At 46.4% G+C, this 23,503-nt stretch overlaps 4 annotated features.

Annotated features, from left to right (window-relative positions):
* Positions 3,188-4,062: an enhancer, noted in NCBI's record as "H3K4me1 hESC enhancer chr11:119848775-119849649 (GRCh37/hg19 assembly coordinates)". NCBI's record gives its function as "activates a minimal SCP1, AML or CMV promoter by ChIP-STARR-seq in naive H9 embryonic stem cells {active_cell/tissue: H9 hESC(naive)}" and the evidence as "EXISTENCE:reporter gene assay evidence [ECO:0000049][PMID:30033119]".
* Positions 6,217-6,899: an enhancer, noted in NCBI's record as "NANOG-H3K4me1 hESC enhancer chr11:119845938-119846620 (GRCh37/hg19 assembly coordinates)". NCBI's record gives its function as "activates a minimal SCP1, AML or CMV promoter by ChIP-STARR-seq in naive H9 embryonic stem cells {active_cell/tissue: H9 hESC(naive)}" and the evidence as "EXISTENCE:reporter gene assay evidence [ECO:0000049][PMID:30033119]".
* Positions 16,961-17,130: an enhancer, noted in NCBI's record as "experimental_19319 CRE fragment used in MPRA reporter constructs". NCBI's record gives its function as "activates a minimal promoter by MPRAs in K562 erythroleukemia cells, with activity observed for the non-introgressed 11:119835792 or rs12574743 variant allele {active_cell/tissue: K562}" and the evidence as "EXISTENCE:reporter gene assay evidence [ECO:0000049][PMID:34662402]".
* Position 17,045: a transcriptional cis regulatory region, noted in NCBI's record as "Neanderthal adaptively introgressed variant 11:119835792 (GRCh37/hg19 assembly coordinates) or rs12574743 in the experimental_19319 CRE". NCBI's record gives its function as "modulates activity of the experimental_19319 enhancer by MPRAs in K562 erythroleukemia cells {active_cell/tissue: K562}" and the evidence as "EXISTENCE:reporter gene assay evidence [ECO:0000049][PMID:34662402]".

Below are 23,503 nucleotides of genomic sequence, written 5' to 3'. Positions count from 1 at the left end.
CTCCCGGAGCATAGGGAACTTGCAAAGGTGTGTGTATACTTGTGCCCTCAAACAGGACCACACACTGTTCTGTGGGTTCACAGGCAGCCGGGAGTGGGGAGGCTTCCCTTGCAAGGGATTGGTGGTCTGTGGCAGAGGCCTGGAGATGTGAAAGCAGCTGTTCCCTGGCAATGGGTTTCACCTGCTTCCAAGAACCCTCAAGAAGGGCTGAGGCTGCTCATAGGATCTACAGTTCCCACCACGGGGCAGCAGCCCCAGAGCTCCTTCCACGAGGAGCTCCTTGGGGCCAGGAGGGAGTGAGGAGTTTGCTGGTTGAGATCTCGGAGTGCACTGAGCTGAGACTGGGGAGAAAGCTCAAGTCTAAGAAGCCAGAAGTGGCAGCCTGGGCTGTGCTGAAAGCTACCACCAAAGGAGGCCTGGTGGGGCACAGAAAGTGGAATGGGTAAGGGGAAGAGTTTGAGACTCCTGTCTCAACAGGCTTGTAGCTGAGGACCAGGACAAGGAAGCTGACAGCCTTTCCACTTTCCCAGATGGGTTTCATGGGGGCCTCCCAGGAATGTGGAGGAGAGGGGCCCGTGGCTTTCCTGGTACCTGCTGGAGGTTATGGGAGAGGTGATGAAAGATGGTAAGAAGCCCCAAGATGCTGGCCCCATGACACACCCAGAGCCCAGCACTGGCTCCATGCCGTGTGCGCCTAGCACAGGTGGTTCTCTGTGGCAAAATCAAGCCTCTCTCCCTTCTCTCGAAGAAGGATGCCCCAAGTCCCCCTACGCCTTTCCTGGGAGATCAGGGTCCATTTGTTCTTAATGTTCCCCTGAGGAGGGGGATTCCACCGCTCTCTCCTAGAAGCTGCTTTCCACATCTCACAATCTTTGTCAGAAAATTTAAATCAGCGGGTTTTCCACTGTCTCCTCTGTGCCAGGTAAAGGAATTCACACACACACGTTGTCTTGGGTGAGCTGCACCACAGCCCTGCAGGGCTGGGAGGGCAGAACCATGCCCCTTTCAGCCACCTGGAAACCCAGGCTTGGGCACTTTGAGTGAATCATTTCCTCAAAGGATGCAGTTTGCAAAGATTGGAGCTGAGATTTGAACCCAGGTCCTTTGCCTTAAGTCTCACATCCTGTCTCCCCAGCAACTAGCCACAGCTCTTCCGGTAATCATGCAGTCTCTTTCCACTGTGGATGAAACAGGCAGCTCCAAAGCCCCTGGCAAACTCTGCAGCCACCTCTGGGGTGGGGACCAGCCGGAAATCTGACGGGGGAGCCTGCTGCCACTGGCCTGTGGCCCTCTGACCCACCCCTCGGCCAGTTGTTCAGCTCAGAAGAGAAGATGGTCTGGAAGATTCCTCAATCCTTGTCACCGCCAATCCCTGCCCCTCTGCTCCAGCCTAGAAATGTTGAGTTGATTATATTCTGTGCTCAATCACCAGAAATAATCAATCTGTAATTAAGAGCATCCCCCGGCCCCCTCCAAGCCTTCCCTAGGCCTCCGCTCCTCCAGCCACACCCCACGCCTACCACCGCCACCACCACCGCCGCCCCCTCCCACCCACCTTTCCAGCATGGAATCGTTTTAATGAGATTTCTGTGTTACAAATGACCGGTTTGTAATAATTATATTTTGTGCAGCAATCGTGGTTTAAAAATGATTTAAAGCAGGAAAGGCTCCAATTTATTAGGCATCAAACTTTCTGTGGTGAACTTTTAACTGGAAGCCGCCGCTCAGACACAGAGGGGGCCATCTCTGCCACCCTGGGCTGAGCAATACTACTGAAATATTGATGGTTTGTGGATGGAAATGTAGCCGAGGAGACTTAACTTTTACTAAAATAAATGAATCTTGCAACAATAGCTTGGTGGTCCTGGGTGCACCACTCCCTGCAGTAGAGGAAATGGGTTGTGGGGGAGGAGAAGGAGAGGGGCCCCCACCCGGAACAAGGCAAGGGAAGGAGAATGAGGCTTTTTGGGACTCAGGGCCTGAGGTGTTTTCCACGCAAGGCTTTGCATTTTGAGGAGAATTATCGTTGTATACCCCTTCTAAATTCTGTGAAGAGCTTTGGTGAGAGCCGTTGTGGGCAGCGTTTGGGACTTGTGACTCTGGAATTACCCTGGGTTCGTACCTGGACCTTGCTATTTTCTACCTGTGTAACCTTGGGCAATGAACCCACCTTTCCAATCCCAGTGGAGAATTCCCTGAGATAACACTTGTAAAGCCCTTTGTCCAGGGTTGGGCGTGCAACAAGCACTCAATAACTGACAAGTATCACTATCATTTCAATGACTTTGCATCTATTAACCCATGAGGGTGTCACTACCCTGTGTGGCACATACAGTGAGTGTCCTTGTCCTCACGGAGAGACAAAGTCCTGGGTAGGTGAAGTGCCATCCCATGGTCATAATCTAAGTGGTGGAGCTGGGTCAGAGCCCCAGGCCTCTTCCGGCTCCCAGTTCCATTCGTATTAAACCGAGGGGAAATTTCTGGAGAAAGCAGGACTGCCATTGCAATTGAAAATAACAGCATGTTATTTTAAAATGCAGCTGGGGAGGTCCAGGTCTGAGATCAGGAAGGTCATCTTGGTATAGAAGGTGTCAGAGGAGAAGAGGTGATTGAGGGAGGCTGAGTGAGCCCCTCCCTTTCGGAACGTAGAGGCTTCCGTGCACCAGGGGAACAGCCTCTGGAGTCCACTGGCACCCAAGCCACACCCTTGCCAGGGACAGCCTGGAATGGGGCTGCTTGTTTGCCACATCTCCTGAGGGCAGAATTTCTAGCTCATTCATCCTGGAGCTTCCTCTACTACCTGACTCCAAGAAGGGCACACAGTAGGTGTGCAACAACCTGAACTGCAGGCTTCACGAGGGCAGGAACTGGGCCTGCTTTGCTTATTCCTATAGGCTAACCCAATGCCTGGCACATAGTGGGTGCTAAATAATAATACTGATAATGATAATGAGTGAGTGAGTGAGCAAGTGAATGAACAAGTGTTTGTTGCATCAGGTGGAATGGTCTCTCCTCTTCTGACCTCACCCTCCGGAGCCAGCAGTGGTGCCCACCCTTTCTGACAGAGGGGCAGTGACCCATGGGATGTGGACAAGGAAAAAAGCTTATTGCTCTGGCCTGCTGGGGCTGCATCTTGGGACTCTGGGACCCCAGCTCTTAGACCAGAAATGGAGCTCCTCACCCCTGAAGCTCTGTTGTCTCAGGAGTCACTGGTGCAGGAGAGGGGTCAGTGGCCTCAGATGTTGGGAGGAGGAGGGAGGAGAAGAGGGCGAGGGAGGGTGCCCCTTCTCTGTCTGCCGGCTCAGCCCTCCAGGCTCTGGTCGTGTGGTGTCTTATCTTCCTGCTCATTCTTCTCATTTTCTGACCAGCTGCTGGGGCAAGAGGGACCTGGGCCTTGCCTCTGCTTGTGGGCACCTATCTGGGCTTGGGGAGGGTGGAGAGGGCACACGCCAGTCCCTGGTTGTGGAAAAGGACACTCCTACAGGCGGAAGCACGGAAACCCATCTTGTGAGATTCCCCCATTGTGGCAAACACAGAGGGGGCTGGTGGTCGCCGGGGCGTCCCTCACTCCCTGTGTTTGAAATGGGTTTCAAACTGTTCTGAGAATCATTATGGAGAAAATCAAGGACCTCCTGAAGGGCAGGGGGCTCCAGGGAGCTGTTGGGAGGCAGAAGTCCTCTACCGGAAGACTTGAAGATGAAATGAACATGGTGCATCAGATGCGTTTTGAATGTGAATTCACGCGAGCCGCTTCTCCCTGCCGGGGAGCTGTGTGCCTCAGCAGTGGAGCTGGACCCTCCTTCACCACCTTCTCCATCCTCACCTTGGCACCCTTTACTGGTGCCTAACCGACTCATGACCTCAGGGAGGGTTTTGCCAGCACAAAGATGCTTTCCAGGGGCTCTCCTCCCGGGACTTGGAATAATGCAGTGTAAACCTCGCCACGTTTAACAGCAGACACCGCGTTTCTCACTACAGCTTTGTCCCTAACTGGCTGCATGACTCCGGACTAGTCACAGGCTCAGACACTCAGTCCTGTCTTCTGCAAGGTGGGGACAATAACGACGGCACCCCCTTCCTGGACATTCCTGCCCTGGGAGGCCTCATGAGCAGAGGCCAAGGCGTTTCCTCTTTGCTCCCTCAGCCCAGCACAGAGCCTGGCCCAGGGGAAGTGCTGAAGGATGAAGGGTAATCAGGAGGGGCAGATCAGCGGCCCCATGGGATAGTGTGTAAGCGCTCCCACACAGGCAGCCTCAAGGGGACCCTTCTGCCCCAGTCTGCGTCTGCCTCCATGGCCTTTCTTCTCTAGGCATTTCTGAGTCAGGCAAATCTGCCCTGCCCCCTTACCTCCTTCCCACATAGCCCTCTCCTCTTCCCCATCCAACAGACCTGCTGCAGTCCCTCCCTTTCCTGTCCAGTTATTTTTCCATCTCCACAACCAGATGCCAGCCTGTCTGTCCGGTCCCCCCAGGCCCCTACTCCATTCCTCTGTGTTGGCTCCTCCCGCCTCACCAACATATCTCCTGGGAGTGGGGGCAGCCTGCTGGCCACACCTCTGGACCCAGCCTGTCCACTATCTCCTGGACTCTGCATGGGCCTCCAGTGCAGGCCCCTTCTGGACGTCCTCTCCCTGTCAGCCAGAGTGAGCCTTCTGAACTGAAAGCCTGACTGTGCAACTCCCTTGCTTAAAGTCCTTCAGAGACTTAGCCGTTATCTTTTTGTTTAGTGAGTTAGTCACCAGGTGCTCGGGATAAAGAAGTCCTAACCCCTGGACATATACACAAGGTCCTCTGTGACCTGCCCTGGCCCAGAGCTCCTGCACCTCCCTAGGCTCCAGGCATGCGGGGCTGCTTGCAGGTCCCAGAGTGCTCTGAGCGCACTCAACGGCTTCCTGCTGCACTCTATCTTCTCCCTCTTGCTCCACCTGCCCCTTGTGGCTTCATTAACTCATCTTTTAAGACTCAGTTGTGATATCACCTCCCGCAAGAAACCTTCCCTGAGTCACAAGGCTCCTTCATATTCAGCCATGGGCTTCTACGGCATCTCTGCGTGTCCCAGCATACTTGCCATTCTGTAAGCTCTGAGCATGACCCACCAGGCTCCCTCTCCTCTGTGAGCACCACGAGGGCGGGTCCACAGCTTATTCCTCATCACACCACCAGCACCCTGTGCTGGGTCTAGGTGTTTGTGTGTCCCTAACAGTCATACGTTGGCATCCTAGCCTCTAGAGTGATGGAATTAGGAGGTGGGGCCTTTGGGAGGGTGGGGCCTTCATACACGAGAATAGTGCTTTTATAAAAGAGCCCACAGAGATCCCTTGCCTCTTCCACCAGATGAGAACACAGAGAGAATGCCCTCACCAGACACCAAATTTGCTGGTGCCTTGCTCTTGCACTTTCCAGCCTCTAGAACTGTGAGGAATAAATGTCTATAGTTTATAAGCTACCTAGTTTGTGGTATTTATTTTATAGCAGCCCAAATGGACTAAGACACCCTGCATACAGTAGGTTCTCACAATAGGGATTTTGAATGAACAACCACATCCATTGACCCTTGCTTTTCTTTATTCTTAAGTATATTTTTAAGTTGTATGCCCTGCAGCAGGGGCAGGCCTACTGAATAATGACAGGTATGATTAATTAAGTACTTAGTATTTGTCGAGCATCTGCTAAACTCTTAACATTCATTAACATTCTCATTAAATCCTCATTACCTGAGGTAGGTACTACTGTGGGTAATTATCTCCATTTTCCAGATAAGGAAACGGAGGCTGAGAGGGGTTGGCTACCTTGCCCCAGACCACACAGTGAATGACTGTTGAAGCCTGCACTTGAACCCAAATGTGTCCAACTCCAAGGCTCGGGCACTTAACCACTGGGCACACTGTCACCACCCACCCCTGGAGGAGCCCCCCGGCCTAGCCCCTGAGAAGCCAGTGTCAGATGGGAGGCAGCTCGGCTGTCCTGGCCCCTTACCATGTCTTGGCGTCTGCAGTGCTCTGTGGTTGCTGTCCCTCTGTACCAGGCACCCCCTGCACACACATCAGAGGGAAGGCTTGTCACTCCAAGTCCCAGCTGGCTTCTTCCTGGGACCGGCCCAGCTGTGGCACAAGAGGTGGTGGTGCTGTTTCCTCTTGCGGGTGGTGGGCAGGGAGGGTGAGTCTGGGCCCCGCTCCCCACTGGCTATCTGTTGAATGACAGCAAGCCAGAGTGTTTGGGTGGGTGGTGAGCTTTGAGGGCCCACCGGAGACTGTTAATTTTGGCTCTGAGTCCGCAGTGGAGCTAAATGACTGGAAAGCTCCCTCGAGAGGGATGTGTGCAGCCAAGGCAGCTGCAGCTCTGATAGCTCCACCATCTGCCAGCGCCGAGATCAAGTCACTTACTGGGCGTCCTGGCGGGAGCGGCTTCTGTATCCAAGCTGGGAGGGGCTCCGAAGCCAATCACTGCCCGGTGGGGGGCCAGCAGTGTTAGATGCAGAGGGAAAATGCTTCAAAGCCTTCCAGGGCCCCAGGAACTCGCACAATCTTTCCAACTAGGGAACTCATCTGGGAAGCAAATTCCAGGAGTAAAGAGGTGGATTTCTTCTGCCTCATTTCCAGGGAGGAACTGGCCCCAGGCTGGGGGTGGGGTCTCGTGGGGTGGGTGAGTGTCTTTCCAGACTCTCCCCATGTGTCCGACAGGGCAGCCCAGCAGGGCCTGTGCTTCTAACTTTCTGAGTAGGATTGGATTCCAAGAAACAGGAACCAGAATTTGTCAGAAACGCCTCCTGGAGGGAGAGTTTGCCCCCAGAGTGGGTATGCTATTATTGTACTATTGTTGCACCTTATACTTGGGCTTATATTTGAATACTTAGAAAGAAATCAACACCATGCAGAGGAGATCGCTGGGAACTCAGATTCACAGGTCTGCAGTGGGGTCTGAGAACTTGCTTTTCTCACAGCTCCCAAGTGATGCCGATGTTGCCTGTCCTGGATAATGTGGCTTCACCCTTTACTGGCTAGAACACATCGTTGAGTCTCTCCAAGGCTCATTCCCTCACATGTAAAATGGTCATGACAATAGCCACCTATAGGCTGCCGAGAGGATTAATGAGCTACCATATGTAAAGTCTCAGTGAGTTGGGGAAGACCCTGTGGTAAAGCACCTGACATGTAGCAGGTGTTCAATACAGGTGCCTTCTCTTCCCTCAGTCGAGATGATTTTGCACTCTTAATTTCATGTGAGCCAGTGAGGCGAGCAGAACAGGAATTGCTCACCCCTATTCTACAGATGAGGAGCCACTAGTGCACTGACTTAGTGGCTAAGGTAGACCCCAAGATTCTTGCTGAAAGCTCAGTGTTCTTCCCACCACAACACTTTTTTTCTGGTCAGATGAGAGATTTATGTGTCTACCAGATGAGGAGCAAGTCGATACTAATGATGAAAACCCTAACAATACTGCAGAAATCTGTGTGGGACTCTCACTGGGCACATAGCCACAGCCGGCCTTCTGGAGTCCTGGGAGACAGCTCGGAACTTGGAAGACAATGTTCCATTACATGGCTCCCCTCTGGGCCTGCCTGTATATTGATCTCAACAAGCATTTCAGGGAAGAACAAATGCTGGGGCCATCTTCCCCCATGGGGAAGGAGGCAAGCGGATCAGAGATGAAAGGTAGAGCTGCTGTTGTCCCGTTTGTGGCCCAGGGGCCTGTCTTCCTCCCTGACCCCAGCCATCAGAGGTATCTAGATAGACAGGGCTCAGAGAAGACAGCAGGAGGGACCTCTGGCCAGACTCCACATCTGTCTGCCACAGCTCTGAGGGGCTTGGAACGATTCAGCACATTCTTCCCTTCTTCCCCAGCCTGCCCAGCCACATGTTGGCCATGGCCTCTCCAGCTGCCCTCTCCCCTGCTCTGGACGAAACCTGGGAAAAACTGTCTGGGGCCCCTGGAGTTTCTGATGCATTATGTCATTTACCTCGTCAGGCATTCTCACTCACAGATGTCAGTCCCGGTAGTCAGAAAAGCAAATGGAGCCCCAGAAGACAGCAGAGGGCACACTGGATCCCAGGCTGGGGATGTGATCTTGCAGCCTGTGTGATGTCTTGGGGTTGAACCCTGCTCAAGCCAAGGCCTCCAGTTCCCATTTGGACTCTGTCACAAGGGAATTCCACATGGCATTCCTGGATTTCACATTTCCATTTCAGCTATTTGTGAGTGTCCTCAAAGTCCTCCATCTGCAGCCATTTGTCATTTTGCTGAGACAGGAAACTGAGCCCCATGTGCCATGAGGCTGGTGAACAGCAGCAAGCTTCAGTCAGCAGGGAGTCAGGCCCAGGCCCCCTCTGCCTCTCAGACCAGCTAGGTTTTTTTGTTTTGTTTTGTTTTTTGTTTTTGAGATAGGATCTCATTCTTTTTGCCCAGGCTGGAGTCTGGAGTGCAGTAGCACAATCACAGCTCACTGCAGCCTCAACTTCCCAGGCTCAGGTGATTCTCTCACCTCAGGCTCCTGAGAAGCTGGGACTACAGATATGTGCCACCAGGCCCGACTAATTTTTTTGTATTTTTTTTTAGTAGGGATGGGGTTGCGCCATGTGGCCCAGGCTGGTGTTGAACTCCTGGGCTCAAGTGATCCACCTGCCTTGGCTTCCCAAAGTGCTGAGATTACAGACATGAGCCACCGTGCCCAGTCCTGTCTTTGTTTTATAGAGGAGGAAATGAAACCACTGTACGGCATTGTGTGGTTGAAAATATGGAGATGCATTCACAATAGCAAAGTCAGAGAACCAACCTCTGTTACCATTCACTGATAACTGGATAAAGGAAATGTAGTGTGTGTATGTGTGTGTGTGTGTGTGTGTGTGTGTGTGTGTGTGTGTGTAAAATGGAATACTATGCAGCCATGTAAAAGAATTTAAAAGAATGAAATCATGTCTTTTGCAGTAACATGGATGGAGCTGGAGACCATTATCCTAAGTGAAATAACTCAGAAACAGAGAGTTACATACTGCATGTTCTTACTTATAAGTGGGAGCTAAACAATGGGTACACATGGACATAAAAAGATGGAAACAATAGACATTTGTGACTCCAAAAGGGGAGTGGGGTGGAAGGAAGTGAGGGTTGAAAAATTACCTGGGTGCATGGGTGCACCAGAAGCCCAAACGTCACCATTATGCAGTAGATCCATGTAACAAACCTGCACATCTGTTCCCTGAAGCTGTAACTATAAAAAAGAAAGAAAACGTGAAGATAGAAGACACCCTTAGGTTTCCTGTTTCTCAAAAAGGCTCAGGGTCTCCTGTACCTTATTTTTAGAGACTCCCCAAGACTTGTGGAAAAGGAAGAAACGACGAAGACTAGACTCTTGTTGTAAAGTTCACAACATCGGCGGCGTTTCTAGAAGAAACATCCAGCCTGTCTCCTTTCCAGTTATGAGGTCCAGGAAAGAGACATCACAGCCCCAGGGAGCCCCTTCCACCAGGTCAGGGGCTAGTTTGCCACTAGATTCCTCAAATATTCCACTAGAAGGGCATGGCTTTGGCGGGGCACCAGGCCCCCTAAGATCTTAGACTACCTGCACCCCAACTGTCAGACTGTCCCCTAGTTAGCTCCAGCACCACCCCAGGCAGGGGCACATACTCCAGGTCCTGCCATCAGCATAACGACCCAGTCTGACATGCACTTTACAGTCATGAAACACTTTTACCTGTGTTGTCTCACTGGACCCACACAACAAAGTAGAGTAGGATGGGTGTCTGTCTTAGTCCTTTCAGGCTGCTATAATGAAGCATCACAGATTGGGTGGCTTCCCAGCAACAGACATTTATATTTCTCACCACTCTGGAGGCCTGGACATTCAAGTTCAAGGCCCCAGCAAGTTTGGTGTCTGGTGAGGAACTGCTTTCTGGCTCATAAATGGTGGTTTGTCTCAGTGCCCTCACATGGCAGAAGGGCAGAAGGATAAACAGGCTCCCTTCAGCCCTTTTACAAGGGCACTAATCCCATTCAGGAGGGCTGCACCCTCACGACCTAATCACCCCCAAAGGCCTTACCTCCTAACACCATCACTTTGTGGGGGTAGGATTTCAACATAGGAATTTTTGAGCGACACAAACATTAAGACCATAGCAGTGTTGTTATTGCCAATGTACAGATCAGAAAACCAAGGAGCAGACACTGGGCATCCTGCCTAAGTCATAGGAAGAAAGTGGGGACTCCAACTGAGGTCTTCCAAATTGTGTAACAAACACCACCTTCTCTTAATAATCTACCAGTGCTCCCCATGATACCTGACGAAATGCAGAAAGCCTTCATGGACGTAATCTCATTTTAATCTCATAACAACCCTGTGAGGCAAGCAGCAGTAGGTGCTATTATCCCCATTTTACAGGCAGAGGATCTCATGTGCTCAAACTGTGTACAGGTAGTTCTTTTTAGGGTAGGAGCGGGGGCAAGTTAGATGTCAGAAAGTTAAAGAGAGGGCAGAAGCTGTGTGTCCAGCCAGACCTAGGTACCCTACTTAGAAACATTCTTGCTACAGCAATTTTACCACTTTCACAGAAGGCTGTTAACTAAATGAATTATCCTTGCTGAATAGGCTTTGGGGGTTCCCTAGGGCAGCACAAAGATCCACATCTTTGTTTGATCTTTGTGCCACATCTAAACTTCTGGAAAATTGCAATGCCCCCATCTTCCCTCCCCAACAGTTCAGGTGCCTGCTCCCAGCTTGGGCATCTTCTCTTGCCTACCTGGAGACAGCACTCTGGCCAATGAATGTGTCTTGGCATTTTACAGGACCAGGCAGGGGCAGGGCCTCACGTGAAGTGAGTGGGAGCGCGGGGTTGGGCCTGCCTGTGTGCCATGTGTGTGCCTATATGCATAACAATGAACACAACAACCTCAGTCCCTGTGAGCACAGATGTTTCCATGTGTGTGCAGCGCTGCATGCGTCCACCTGTGAACCTGTGACCAATGGACATGGACCCCCACCCGGGGTCCCTAGTGTAGGAGTGCCCAGCCACCTCCTTCAGCCCCGGCTTGTCTCATCCCCGCAGCCTGCTGTGGTGGTGAGTTGTCAAATGCGAACATCAGCTGCACAGCATCTTTATGAGGAGGCCAGGACAGGCAGGTAATTTATCAAACATTACTTAAAATAGTCCCCCAGCCTCTCGCTCCCTCTCTCTTGTTGCTGTCTGATTCTTGATTGTTTCTTCTTTCTGTCTCTTGTTTTTCTGCCTGGAGATTGACAGCCCCCTGCTAATACAGCCTTGGAGATACCACATACTGGTGGAACCGACACCTCACTCTGCCTCAGCCTCCATCCCAGAACTAACTGCTCCGCGCTGATTCCAGCGGCACTGCAGTGCTCCTGTCTGCATGCCCGTGGGGCCGGCTGATGGATGAGGCCACATCCCTCGCACTGCAGAAAGCTCAGGAATCAGGGGCACATGCACTGTGATCTGCTGAGTTATGGACTAGCTAATAAGACTCCTCCTGACATCAGCGAGCCCTTGACTGTCCTATTTTTGCCCTGTTTCCAATTCTCTGGCCTTTCAAGCAGGCCCATGTCTTGTGACTGGATGAGCCAGTCTGCTGTCCTCTGAAGAGATGTAAAGAGAATGAGATGAATTAGCATTCTCTGTCATTTCTACTTCCAAGACGAAGCAACTAAGGCCAGCCAAGGGAAACAGAGTTTATTATTGGGAAATGTTTAAGGACCTACTCTTTGCCAATTACTGTACTAGGTTCATGAAACTATTGTCTCATTTAATTCTGTGCAATCGATGTGATCTCCGTTTTATAGAAGAAAAAGCAAGCCTCCAAAGAGGTCAGTGGCCTGCCTTAGGTCAGTGTGTCAGTCAGCATTCAAAAATGGACTCTAGGCTGGGCACGGTGGCTCATGCCTGGTAATCCCAGCACTTTGGGAGGCTGAGGAGGGTGGATCACCTGAGGTCAGGAGTTTAAGACCAGCCTGGCCAACGTGGTGAAAACCCGTCTCTAGTAAAAATTCAGAAATTAGCTGGGCGTGGTGGCGGTTGCCTGTAATCCCAGCTACTTGGGAGGCTGAGGCAGGAGAATCGCTTGAACCCAGGAGGCAGAGGTTGCGGTGAGCCGAGATCGCACCAATGCACTGCAGCCTGGGCAACAAGAGTGAAACTCCATCACAAACAAACAAACAATAAAAAAAGACTCTAGCTAACTTAAACAGAAAAGAAATTTGGGAGCAAGATATTGATAGCTCATGGAATATACAGGGAACTTAGGAAACATGTATGATCCAAGATGGTTAGAGTCAGGGCCAGGACACACAAGGAAGAGCCCGTTAGGAGACCACTGCACCAGACACTGGATGGCCACCACCAAGGTGAATTTCAAACTCTCCTTGCACCTTTATGTCCCTATCTTAAAATCTAAATTCCCAAGTGGTGTCATCTGAGGGTGAGTACGCCATGCATTCACTCCTCAATGCCAGGGGCCAGGGCACCCTTCATGGACACTGGCTCCAATCAAGAATTGCCTGATGGGCTCCCAAAGAAAGAAAGGGGGCTCCCAAGCTGAGCAGCCAACACCCAATGAACTAGCAAACCAGACCCATGTTCCCAGCTGCATATAGCTGGTAAGGGGCTGAGCTAGTGCAAAGCTACCACTCCCTGACTCCAAAACATGTTCACCATAATCAAGGGTGAAGTTCAAGATGTTGAACAATTGGTAGAACACTGGCTCTGGCCAATCAGAATAGATGCCACCAGAAATAGCTGGTTCAGCCATGGCAGTGCCACCAACTGATCATCAGTTCTACACATAAACAAGGCAGAATTGGAGCTCAGGACTCTTGACTGCCCAGGCCAGAGGCCCTTGCTACTAGGACAGTGCTTTCCACACTTTTTCATAGAGGAAGATAATACTTGATGACACACTGGGGTAAACTTGAGGGCATTAAAATGGATAAATAGATGGATGGATGGATGGATGGATGGATGGATGGATGGATAGATAGATAGATGATAGATAGATAGATAGATAGATGATAGATAGATGATAGGTAGATGATAGATGATAGATAGATTGATGATAGATAGATGATAGGTAGATGATAGATAGATAGATAGACAGACAGATAATAGATAGAAAAATATATATGGCTGGGGGTAAAGCCCCCTATAACTTTATATTATATTATTATGATAAAAATAAAATAAAATCCCTCTATACTGCAGGCTTTTATATCCAACTGCCTAGTTGACATTTCCTCTTAGATGCATCATAGGTATCTCAAAAACAGCATATTAGTTTCTGAACACCTGACCTGCCACCATCTTCACCAGCTCACTCCACCTGCAGTCTCCCCCAGCTCAGTTAAGCTCTTGTTAATCCTTCCAGTTGCTGACGCCAAAACCTTTGGAGCCATCTTCAACTCTTTCTTTCATATTCTCTATCCTCTAGAGCCTGTATATATTTTATGTGATATGTATGCCCATGTTCTACATCAGAAATCCTCTAGCCTCTACCATTGGAATACAGTCATAAACTGACCACCTTCACTGCTACTGTTTCATTCCAAACATCATCACCTCTCCCTTGGATTCTCATGACAGCCACCTAAGTAGTCCCCCTACTTCTGACCTCCATCCCCTTCAGTCAAAACAATGATGGCAGCTGGGCCATCTGGTTTACCAGCTGTGAATGGTCCACCTGGGGCTTGAAGGTCCTATCACAACCCCATGGATCGCAAGAGTTCCATATCTTGATTTTCTTCCGTGGGTCAGATATCATTTTAGTGTCCATCTCCTAACAGAAGCTCAAAACAATGGCCAGAGGGCTCCTTACTAAGCATAAATAAGACATCATTCTTCCACTTAAATCCCACAGGGGTTTCCAGTTTACTCAGAGTCAAAAGCAACGTTCTTAAAATGTTGACAAGCCCCCTCACAGTCTGGTATCTGTCACCTCCCTGACCTCGTCTTCTACTACTATCTTCTATGTTCACTTCTTTCCAGCCACAGAGGCCTCCTTCCTGTTCTCTGAACATGCCAAGCTTGCTGTGCCTCAGGGCCTTTGCACATGCTCTCTATCCCCTGTCTGAGTTTTCTTCCCCAGATGTCTGCATGGCTTACTTCCTCACCATCACCAAATCCTCGCTCAGTGTTGCCATCTCAGCAAGGCCTGCCCTGACCACTTTATTTTATCAATATATGTATTAGTTCTTCTCATGCTACTATAAAGAAATACCTGAGACCAGGTGATTTATAAGGAAAAGAAGTTTAGTTGGCTCATGGTTCCATAGGCTGTGCAGGTAGCATGGCTGGGGAGGCCTCAGGAAACTTTTAATCATGGCAGAAGGTGAAGGGGAAGCTGGAATGTCTTCACAGGGCCAGATCAGGAGGAAGAGAGAGAGGGGGAAGGTGCTATACACTTTTAAACAACCAGATCTTGGGAGTACTCACTCACTATCATGAGAACAAGCAAGAGGAAAATCTGCCCCCGTGATCCAATCACCTCCCACCACGTCCCTCTTCTAACACTGAGGATTACAATTTGACATAAGATTTGGGCGGGGACACAAATCCAAACCATATCAATCTATTTTACTCTTCTCAATTTTTTTCCATAGTACTCATCTCCTGACATGCTATATTTATGATATTATTTATTCTTGGCTTTTCTCTACTAGAATGTCAACTTTTTAGTAGTTTTTGTCTGTTTGCTCAGTGATATACTTCCTGGAGCTAAATATTGCCTACCTACTCTCAACTCATATTTGTGGAGGGAAGGAATCAAAACAGAAAGTATTAGGGATAATATTAAAGTTTAAATTTGCATAGATTTTAGATATTAGACATTAGAAAATAGTTTTCAGTTTTTAATGCTAACAATATTGTTTCCACGAACATAGCTTGTTATATCTGGTTGTATATTTAAATGCTTCCATATGTTAAGTTGGTGCAAAAGCTATCTCGGTTTTTACTGTTACTGTCAATGGCAAAAACCGCAATCACTTTAGCACCAACCTAATAATTCTTGTTCCAGGTTTTCAGGACTGATCTCTTTAAATTCTTAAAAATCTCATTGACAAGTAACTTTATGAGCAAAAGTCAGCAGCACATTAAAAAATTGCAGCAGTTGAAATTATATTTAAAGATTCCCAGAGGTCTTCCTTTTCTTTCATTGACAAATGTAATTTTTAAATATCTTGTGTTAATGCTAATGGATTTGAATGCTACCAAACTTTTTCATATTAAGTATTTCAAAATAATGCAGAATCTCTAATTTGTAGCAGGTATGTGCACTGTTACAGCAGTCAACCTGCAGCTAGCTTAGATGCTACTAAAAGAGCTGTAAATGTCTAGAAGCATTTGATATTTGCAAAGATAGATAGTTGGACCCTATCTGGAGCTGCATCTACCAGAAACCCCACCAAGCCTCCCTATCCTACCCCTGTCTGGCAGTACCTTGGGGTCTGTGTCATACTACCTGGGCACTTAGAACCAAAAGTCCTCCAGCAGCACAAGGGGTCCCTTGCCCTAAAGGACAGTGGCCTGTTCTGAGCTGAGAATTCAAGCAAACATCCAGTTGGTGGAGCATCTCCTAGGCCATGTTTGGTACCTCACCATGCAGCAGAGTGTGATGGAGTTGTGCAGGGCCATTACCAGTGAGGACCATAGGACACACCATCATATCCCACTCCACTCCAGCTATCCTCCAAGAAACACTGGCAAGGGAATTCCCAAGAGTCCCAGTCCCCGCCTGTGTGTCTGTAGAGCTTTGAGACTAACGGCAGCACATCAGTGTGGCACGGCACAGCAATTGGGAAGTTCTACTTTGGATCCCTTGGTCTGGAGTCCCTCTTCTTCCACTAACCAGTTGTGTATCTGGGGTGGGACACCTCACTTCGTTGAACTTAGGCTTTCTCATTTATAAATGGAGAATTCAAATAAAAGCCATGCTTGTCAAGTACCTGTCAGGGATCCTTAAGATGACTGCGGAAGTGCTGCAGGGGATAGTTTGGGATGAAGTAGGAATAAAAAGCATCCAACTGGAAAAGACTTTTCCTCATCTTCCTCTTCAAACAGAGCTCCTCCACTTTTATCAGTTTTATATATTGATACTCCATAGAAGATAACATAAAATTTTAAAAACCAGTATATTTCAACGACCTCTCACCCCTGGGCTCTCTACCACCCACCCTTCCTTTGTTCAAGGAGCAAATCATTCTAAATGAACTTTTTATAACATTTTATTACTATAAAGAAATGCCACCTTTCTTTAATAAAAATAAGGCAAGAACCCCCACGGTAGCTATTTAAAAGGATTTTCTTGATATGAGGGGGTGGATGGCCTGCGTGTCTTGTCTCTGTGTCTAACAGTCCTCTTTCCTTTGAGATTTTTCCATATGACTGTTTTTCTCCATGGCACAGAGAAGGCAAAGTTGGAACTTGATTCAAATAATACTTTACGAGAAACTAGGAGATGGCAAAGAGGGAAAAATGCAGAATGTGATGCAGCTGGGCCATCTGGTTTACCCACTGTGAATGGCCTACCACGGCTGGAAGTTTCCATCCCAACCCTATTGGTCCCCAGAGTTCCATATCTCTGGATTTTCTTCCATGGGTCAGATATCATTTTAGTGTCCATCTAGTAGACGCCAGATAAAGACACTTACAATCCTCAATGTCCATGGCCATCTCTTGCACCTAGGTCTTGCTCAGGATTGCAGGTTTCTTGTGGGAAGACCCTCCTTTTCTCTGCTAGTAGCACTACTCATCCCCTTCTGGTGAGATTCCACCCTCTTAAAGGCATCCCTCACAGGTTAACTCTACGACAAGAGCCCAGGTAATCCCCCAAAAGATGGATCTGGTCATTACAAAGAGACAGTTTTCTTTACAGAAGCAGAAGCACAGAGGGGTACAGCAATTTTTCTAATACTCCACAGCTTCACAGGAGCAAAGAGAGGATTTGAATGTAGGGCCTTGGACAGGACACCAGAGCTTTTGGTGTATGTAGGTGCCCTTCCCAAGGCACCTGTGGGGAGGGGAGAGAACCCATGGACCCAGAGCTCTCAGCTAATCCTGGAGACAATCGGAGTGCAGGAGGTGCAGGCAAGAGTGAGCAGGAGCACCTCCCTAACACCCTAATACCAATGTCCAAAATTCAGACCCCACAAGAATGGCTCTGCTCTGGACAAGACAATCTAGTCTTTCTGGCATCTGCAGCCCAAGTCTCCTCAATGGGCAATTGCAGCTTCCCAAAGCTTTGAAACAAAAATGCTGAGAATGTCAGAGCCTAAGGCTTCCCCTTCCCTAAGATTCTGAGAGATCTGCATGAGCACTTTTGTTTGCTTATTTATCCTGTTGCCTCAAATTAGAAGTGAAAAGCAGAACAAAGGAACAAAAGACATTCCTCAGGATGGAATTACCTTCCTAGCCTTGGGGTTTGGTCTTGCCAAGACAATTTGGAGTCTGTTACAGTGTTGCAACACATCAGATATCCTAAGGTTTCCCTTTCATCGGCTAGCGTCCAGGGCTGTTTAAGGCCAATTCGGGAGGAAGGGGAAACTGGGGTTTCTAGTGTTGCAGCAAGTCTTCTCAGGCGCCCACAGGCAGTTTCATACTGGGAAATCTTTCCTGAGTCCTCATGCAGTGGGGAAGGTGGCCGGTAAACTGGAAGAGGATCCTGGGGGAAAGGTGCTGCCCTGGGGCTGTGGTTCAGCTCTCGAGGTCCTTTTATCCCAAGTTGAGGCCGCCTGCTTTTAAGTCCTGCCTGCCCAGAAAAAAACCTGGGGCATCTGGTCAGAGACTGGCTTCTCCTTCTTAACAGCTCTTGAGCAGGGTATATTAACACTCCGAGCCTCTGTTTTCTTGTCTGTGAAATGGGAATACCAATAATATCCCATTTATTCTTCTCTCACAGTGGTGGTGAGGATCAAATGACATAATGCCTGTAAAAAGCCCTGTGGGGTAACAAGTGCTTTTCAAACAAGTTTCCAAGGTGTGTGTGTGTTTGTGTGAGTGTGTGTGTGTGTGTGTATGAGTATATGTGTTACATAGGATTGATCCATTGGGGCAGAGAGACAACTGGCTCTCACATAAGGAGGTCCTCCATCTTCTTGCCTTGCTTTTCCAAAACTTCTCATTGTTCTGGAGCTTCCCAGGAGAGACAGGCACACCCCACTTCCACCCTGTCCTCACTACTGCCTCTCCCCGACTCCCAGCTAGGTTGCTGAGAAAGAGACGACAGAGGAATTGAATTTGGTTCAGTTCCATGAGGATGTATCTGGCCTCTGCTCCCGTGCTTCACATTTTTCATGGTGCTCTCCAGTTGAGAAAACTCAGATCGACTACCTCCCTTTGATTCTCATGGCAACCCTGAAAGGCAGGTAGCAGATCAATTAGCATCTTTCATTTCCAGAAAAAAGAAAATGAGACCCAGGGATTAAGTGATTTTCCTAAGGTCACCTACCCTGTAAGAGCAGAGCTAGAACTCACACACAGGGTTTCTGGCCACTGCTTAAAGTTCTTCAGCAGCTCCTCATCATGGCATCCAAAGCTCTTAATGATCTGCGCCCACCTCTCTCCACTCTGAAGGCCTCCCTGCCTTGCCCACAGGGTTGTCTGCTTCACCTGCTCTGTCCTTATTTGTTTATTCCCTGGGGACTCTGCTCATCTCTGCATCTCAGCTCCTAGCACAGTGCCTGGTACGTAATCCATATGTATTAAATAATAAATATATTCAAGAATAGGCATTTGAAGTAGGGCAATGATGGAAATGTCCTAAGTGGCCAACAGTAGCAGAATGGTTAAGTAAACTATGACATATCACGTAGATGGGATATTATGCTATTAAAAATTAGGTCAATGAAATTTAATACTGACCTGAAAAATTCATAGAATATAATCTTATGTGAAAACCCAGAATGTAAAATCACACATACATTATGGTCACAGCTATATAAAACAACACAGATGCAAACTCTCAAAAATAGTGCAAAGAAAAAGAAGTCGAGACGGTGGGCGATTTTCCTTCCTTTCATCTTTCCGTAGTCTCCAGGTTTTCTGTAATAGGCATGCATTATTTTTACAATGACTACAACAGCAACAAAAATGGTAATCAATAGGTAAGGAGATACTAAGAGATACTAATTTATCTCCCAGCTTCCATCTCCAGGTCAAAATGACTTACCTCTCAGGTGCTGAAAACTTACCGGTAGGACAACTCCTAGAGGCTAGGAAAACATCCAGGAGACAGACAATCTAAAGATGTTGTACCCCATTTTAGAAAATAAAGTAGTAGTCATTAGGAGCTCTGCCTTAGGTTCTCCAAGAATGAAGCATTCCAAACTCACCTTATTTTCCTCTTTGATGGGGTTACTAGACTGGTAGATAAGGAGAATGTTACGGACATAATGTGTATTGATTCTGCAGTATAATTGACAAAGCCTGTCCCGTCCCTATGAACAAGGTGGAGAAATGTGGACTGGGAAACAGCCCTTTGATGGATTGAAAGATTGAGACACAAATGCAAATAATGTAGTTGAGTGGTTTGGGGGCTATTCTGAAGCAGAGATGGCAATTTGTGACATCCTCACCCCCATCCCTAGACAGACATTCATTGCTAATCCATCACATCTCTCTTTTCCTCTGAATTCAGATGGAGCTCAGAATCCTTCTCAGCACAGGGCTCCAAGCAGCCACTAGGCAGCCACCAGCCATTAGGTTTCTGTGGTTGAAACTTATTAGATGTCCTTGACTTTTAGGGAAGTCTCAGGCCTATGCCACAAGACTACATTTTACCCAATCCTGTTCAGCAAGTCTATCAGTGATTTGGAATGAAAATCTAGAAAACGAGTATATTTAATTTATAGATGACCTAAAGTTGGGATGGAAATGTGGTAGGGTCAACATCTACAAAATATCTGACCAGATTATAATATAGGACTGAAACGAGGAGTGATTTCCTGGTAATGCTTATCATCCCATACTTGAGTTTAAAAATAAATTTTAAAAGAACAGGACAGTGATGATAATGATTTGATAGCAGTTCAAGAATGGGGTGGGGACAAATCTGAGGTTTAGCAGACCACAATCTCAACTTGTGCCGTATGTGTAGCTGTTGGTAAGGTCGATACAATCTTGGGCTTTGTTATTAGAACTCCGGGGTCCAGAATACGAAAGGTAAAGATGGCTCAAGTTCACCTAGAGCCACAGTTGAACTACGAACTTTAAAGACCTTAAGCACCAACAAAAATAAATAAATAAATAAATAATAATAATAATAATGGTGCGCCCACCCCCAGCTCTTCTATGTAGCTCAAAACAAATTAATAGTAAACTGTAAAATACAGGTAAGTAAATTCCATCTTTTCCCATGAAAACGGGTTTATGTTTGACGTGTAGAAGACGAGATTTAAAAAAAATTAATGCCTTTGCTTTGCTGCAGCCCTAAGCATTTGTTTAGTTTATACATTGGATACACCAACAACGTGTGCAGCATATTCAGCCCTGGAAGTCCCATTTGGAGAGCGGATTTGCTGTACCAGGATCTATATCTGATTATGTCCCTCCTAGCTTCCAAAACCTCCCATGGCTTCCCTGTGCATGCAGAATAGAGTGCAATCTCTTTGGAAGCATTCAAAGCTTGCCAGGACCTGACAGAGGCTGCTTTTAAAAATCAAAATAAGCCAAATGATTTAAAAGCCAAATGTCCCAAAAGGCTTATTATGACATACAGGAGTCCTCGGCTCTACCCTTCCCAACAATTTCAGTCCTGCTCCTCAAGGGCGATCATTTTAATCTTTTGGATTTATTTATTCTGCCAATTACTCTCATATCTCTAAGTAATATGTTTTACTGATATATCTTAATTTATGTACTTTATGCATTATCTATTGATTCCCTGTTATGAAGGTTGAGTGTTTAATTTTCTTATGCCACCCCCAAGCTCCCTTTCCCTCATTCTTCCAGTATCACCATTTATGGTAAAAATCAATAAATGATGTCTATTGCTTTGCTTATGAAAATATTGTTTACTGACTCATCAAACTACTTACACATCCTTTTTGTATAATTTTTTATTTTCCCCAGAGTTTCTCATTCCTTTCTCTGTGTCTTGCATTATTTGCCTTTATAGAATTCCTCATTTTTTTTCTTTCAATTTTCGATTGCCTCAGGTATTCTATAAGCCTCTTTATTGTTTTTCTTGGAAAACTCTTCCCGGAGACCTGAGTCCACTTGTTCCAAGCTGGACTCTTTGCTCTATAAATGATCCGGACAGCGGAAGGTCTAGGGATTGCCCCTTACCGCTTTCCTGGGTGGGATCCAATGTTTCCCTCAGCCCATTTCTTCTCTCTTGAGTTATTCCATTTTTCAGGAGCACTCCTCAAATAAATTCTTAAGAAATTGTACATGAAAGATAAATTATCTGAGTGCTTGTGTACCTGAAAGTATATTTGTTCTGTTTGGTACACATTTAGGAACAGGATTCTAGGTTTCTGGGTTGAAAATTATTTTTATTCAAATCTTTGAAGGTTTGCTCCAATATTTTCTTGCATCCAGCATTAGAGATGGCAAGTGTGATGGCAATCAGACTCTAGTTCTTTACAGATGACCTGTCACCTTCTCCTGCTGCCTGTATACCATTTGCCACACTTTTTCTTCAGCCCTGATGTTCTGACTTTTCATTCTACTTTTTTTTTTTTTGAAAATTTCCTTTCCCCTATTTTCTTTGTTTTATTTTTGGAATTCTCTGAATCATGTCTTTTATTTTTTTCTTTCATATTTTCTCTTTCAGGAAGATTTATTGGACCTTATCTTCTTAGCTTTCTATTAAGTTTTTAAATTTTATAAAAATCTTTAATATATATATTTTCAAGAGCTCTTTTAGTTTTTTATTTCTTTATAGCACCTTGTTCTTGTTATAGGTATACAAAATCCTCTTAATTTATCTGAGGATCTAATTAGAGTATTTTAAATGTTTACTTTTAAATTATCTTCTGTTACTAGTATAATCTTTCAGGATTACTTTTCCTGTTTTTTTTTTCTTGCAATCTTAAATATTTGGAATTATTGGATATCCTTTTAAATATAAGAATAAGGGAATAAAAAGGCACGTGGGAGCTTTGTGTTCATGTGAAGGACTGGCTGACTAACGGACTTCATCTTAGGGTGATTGGGCTGTGAGCCAGCCATTTTACTGGGAGACCCCTAAGTGTCAGAATAAAGCAGCATTCTTACTTGAGACTTATTCAATTTCTTTTTAGGAGAAACTTTCAAAAATTGTTTTTGTCTAAATGGTAGAAATGTGGCTACTTGGAATTCTATTAATACATAGTGTGGGAATGGGCAGCTACTGTTTGGTCCTGAAAATGGATTTTTCAGTCAGCACCCCCACCAGATTCTAGCTCCAAATATCCCACTCTCTGACATCCCTAACATCTGAAATCAAAATTTGCTTCCCCGGGCAGGTTGGCTGCATTCTCTGTAGCATCCTCACTTTTCCTAGCTTCATCAGTGACTGTATAACCATCTCAAGACAGTCCAAGATATCTCTCATTTGCTGATATATCCTCTCTTATTCTCTTAGTCATAAGCCTTTTATATTATTATGATTATTAAATTATTATAAATATATAGGAAAGTATGGGAGATAGTGTCAAAATATTGATATACCTATCTCCCCAGTTCTGTTAAATCATTCATTCTTAATATTTTGCTATATTTACTTCCTCACCTTTTTTTTCAGGTTTTTAATGCCTTAACTTTTATTTTTTTAACTTTTAGCTCAGGGGTACATGTGCAGATTTGTTACACAGGTAAAATTGTGTTATGGGGGTTTGTGGTACAGATTATTTCATCACCCAGGTATTCAGCCTAGTACCCATTAGTAATTTTTCCTGATCTTCTCCCTCTTCCAACCCTCCACCCTTCAATAGGCCCCATTGTGTGTGGTTCCCTCTTTGTGTTCTTATCACACAAAGTGTGAGAAACATACGGTATTGGTCCCACCTTTTAAAAAAAAAAAAAGAAATAAACTAATAGACTCAGTTGACATATACCCCTATTCTATCTTATTTTCCACCCTCCCCAGTTGTAACCACTGTTCTGAATTTGTCATTTTTCACTTCCATGAATATTTTTATACTTTTGTTACATATATAAATGATATACAATATATGTGATTGCCTTACATGTTTTGTGTTTTCATGTAAAGGTATCAAAGTGTACCTATTGATTTTCAAATTGCTTTTTAAAAAACATTTGTTAGGGATCTATCCATGTTGTATATGCAGTTTCACTGCTGTATAGTATTTCAATCATTCTTCTGCTGATGGAGATTTAGATTATTTCCAATTTCTCACTGTAACATACAGAGCAGCCTGAACATCCTTGCACTTTTCTCCCTGAGCACATGTGCAACAATTTCTTTAGGCATGTACACTGTATCTATGTCATGGTGTATCCACTCTTCAACTTCACTAGAGGTTGGAAAACTGATCTCCAGAATAGATGTATCAATTTACCATTCCAGC

Source organism: Homo sapiens, chromosome 11 (genome assembly GCF_000001405.40).
Source record: "Homo sapiens chromosome 11, GRCh38.p14 Primary Assembly".
Taxonomy (NCBI): Eukaryota; Metazoa; Chordata; class Mammalia; order Primates; family Hominidae; genus Homo; species Homo sapiens.
Note: the sequence above shows the minus strand (reverse complement) of the source record. Positions and strands in the feature narration are given on the sequence as shown.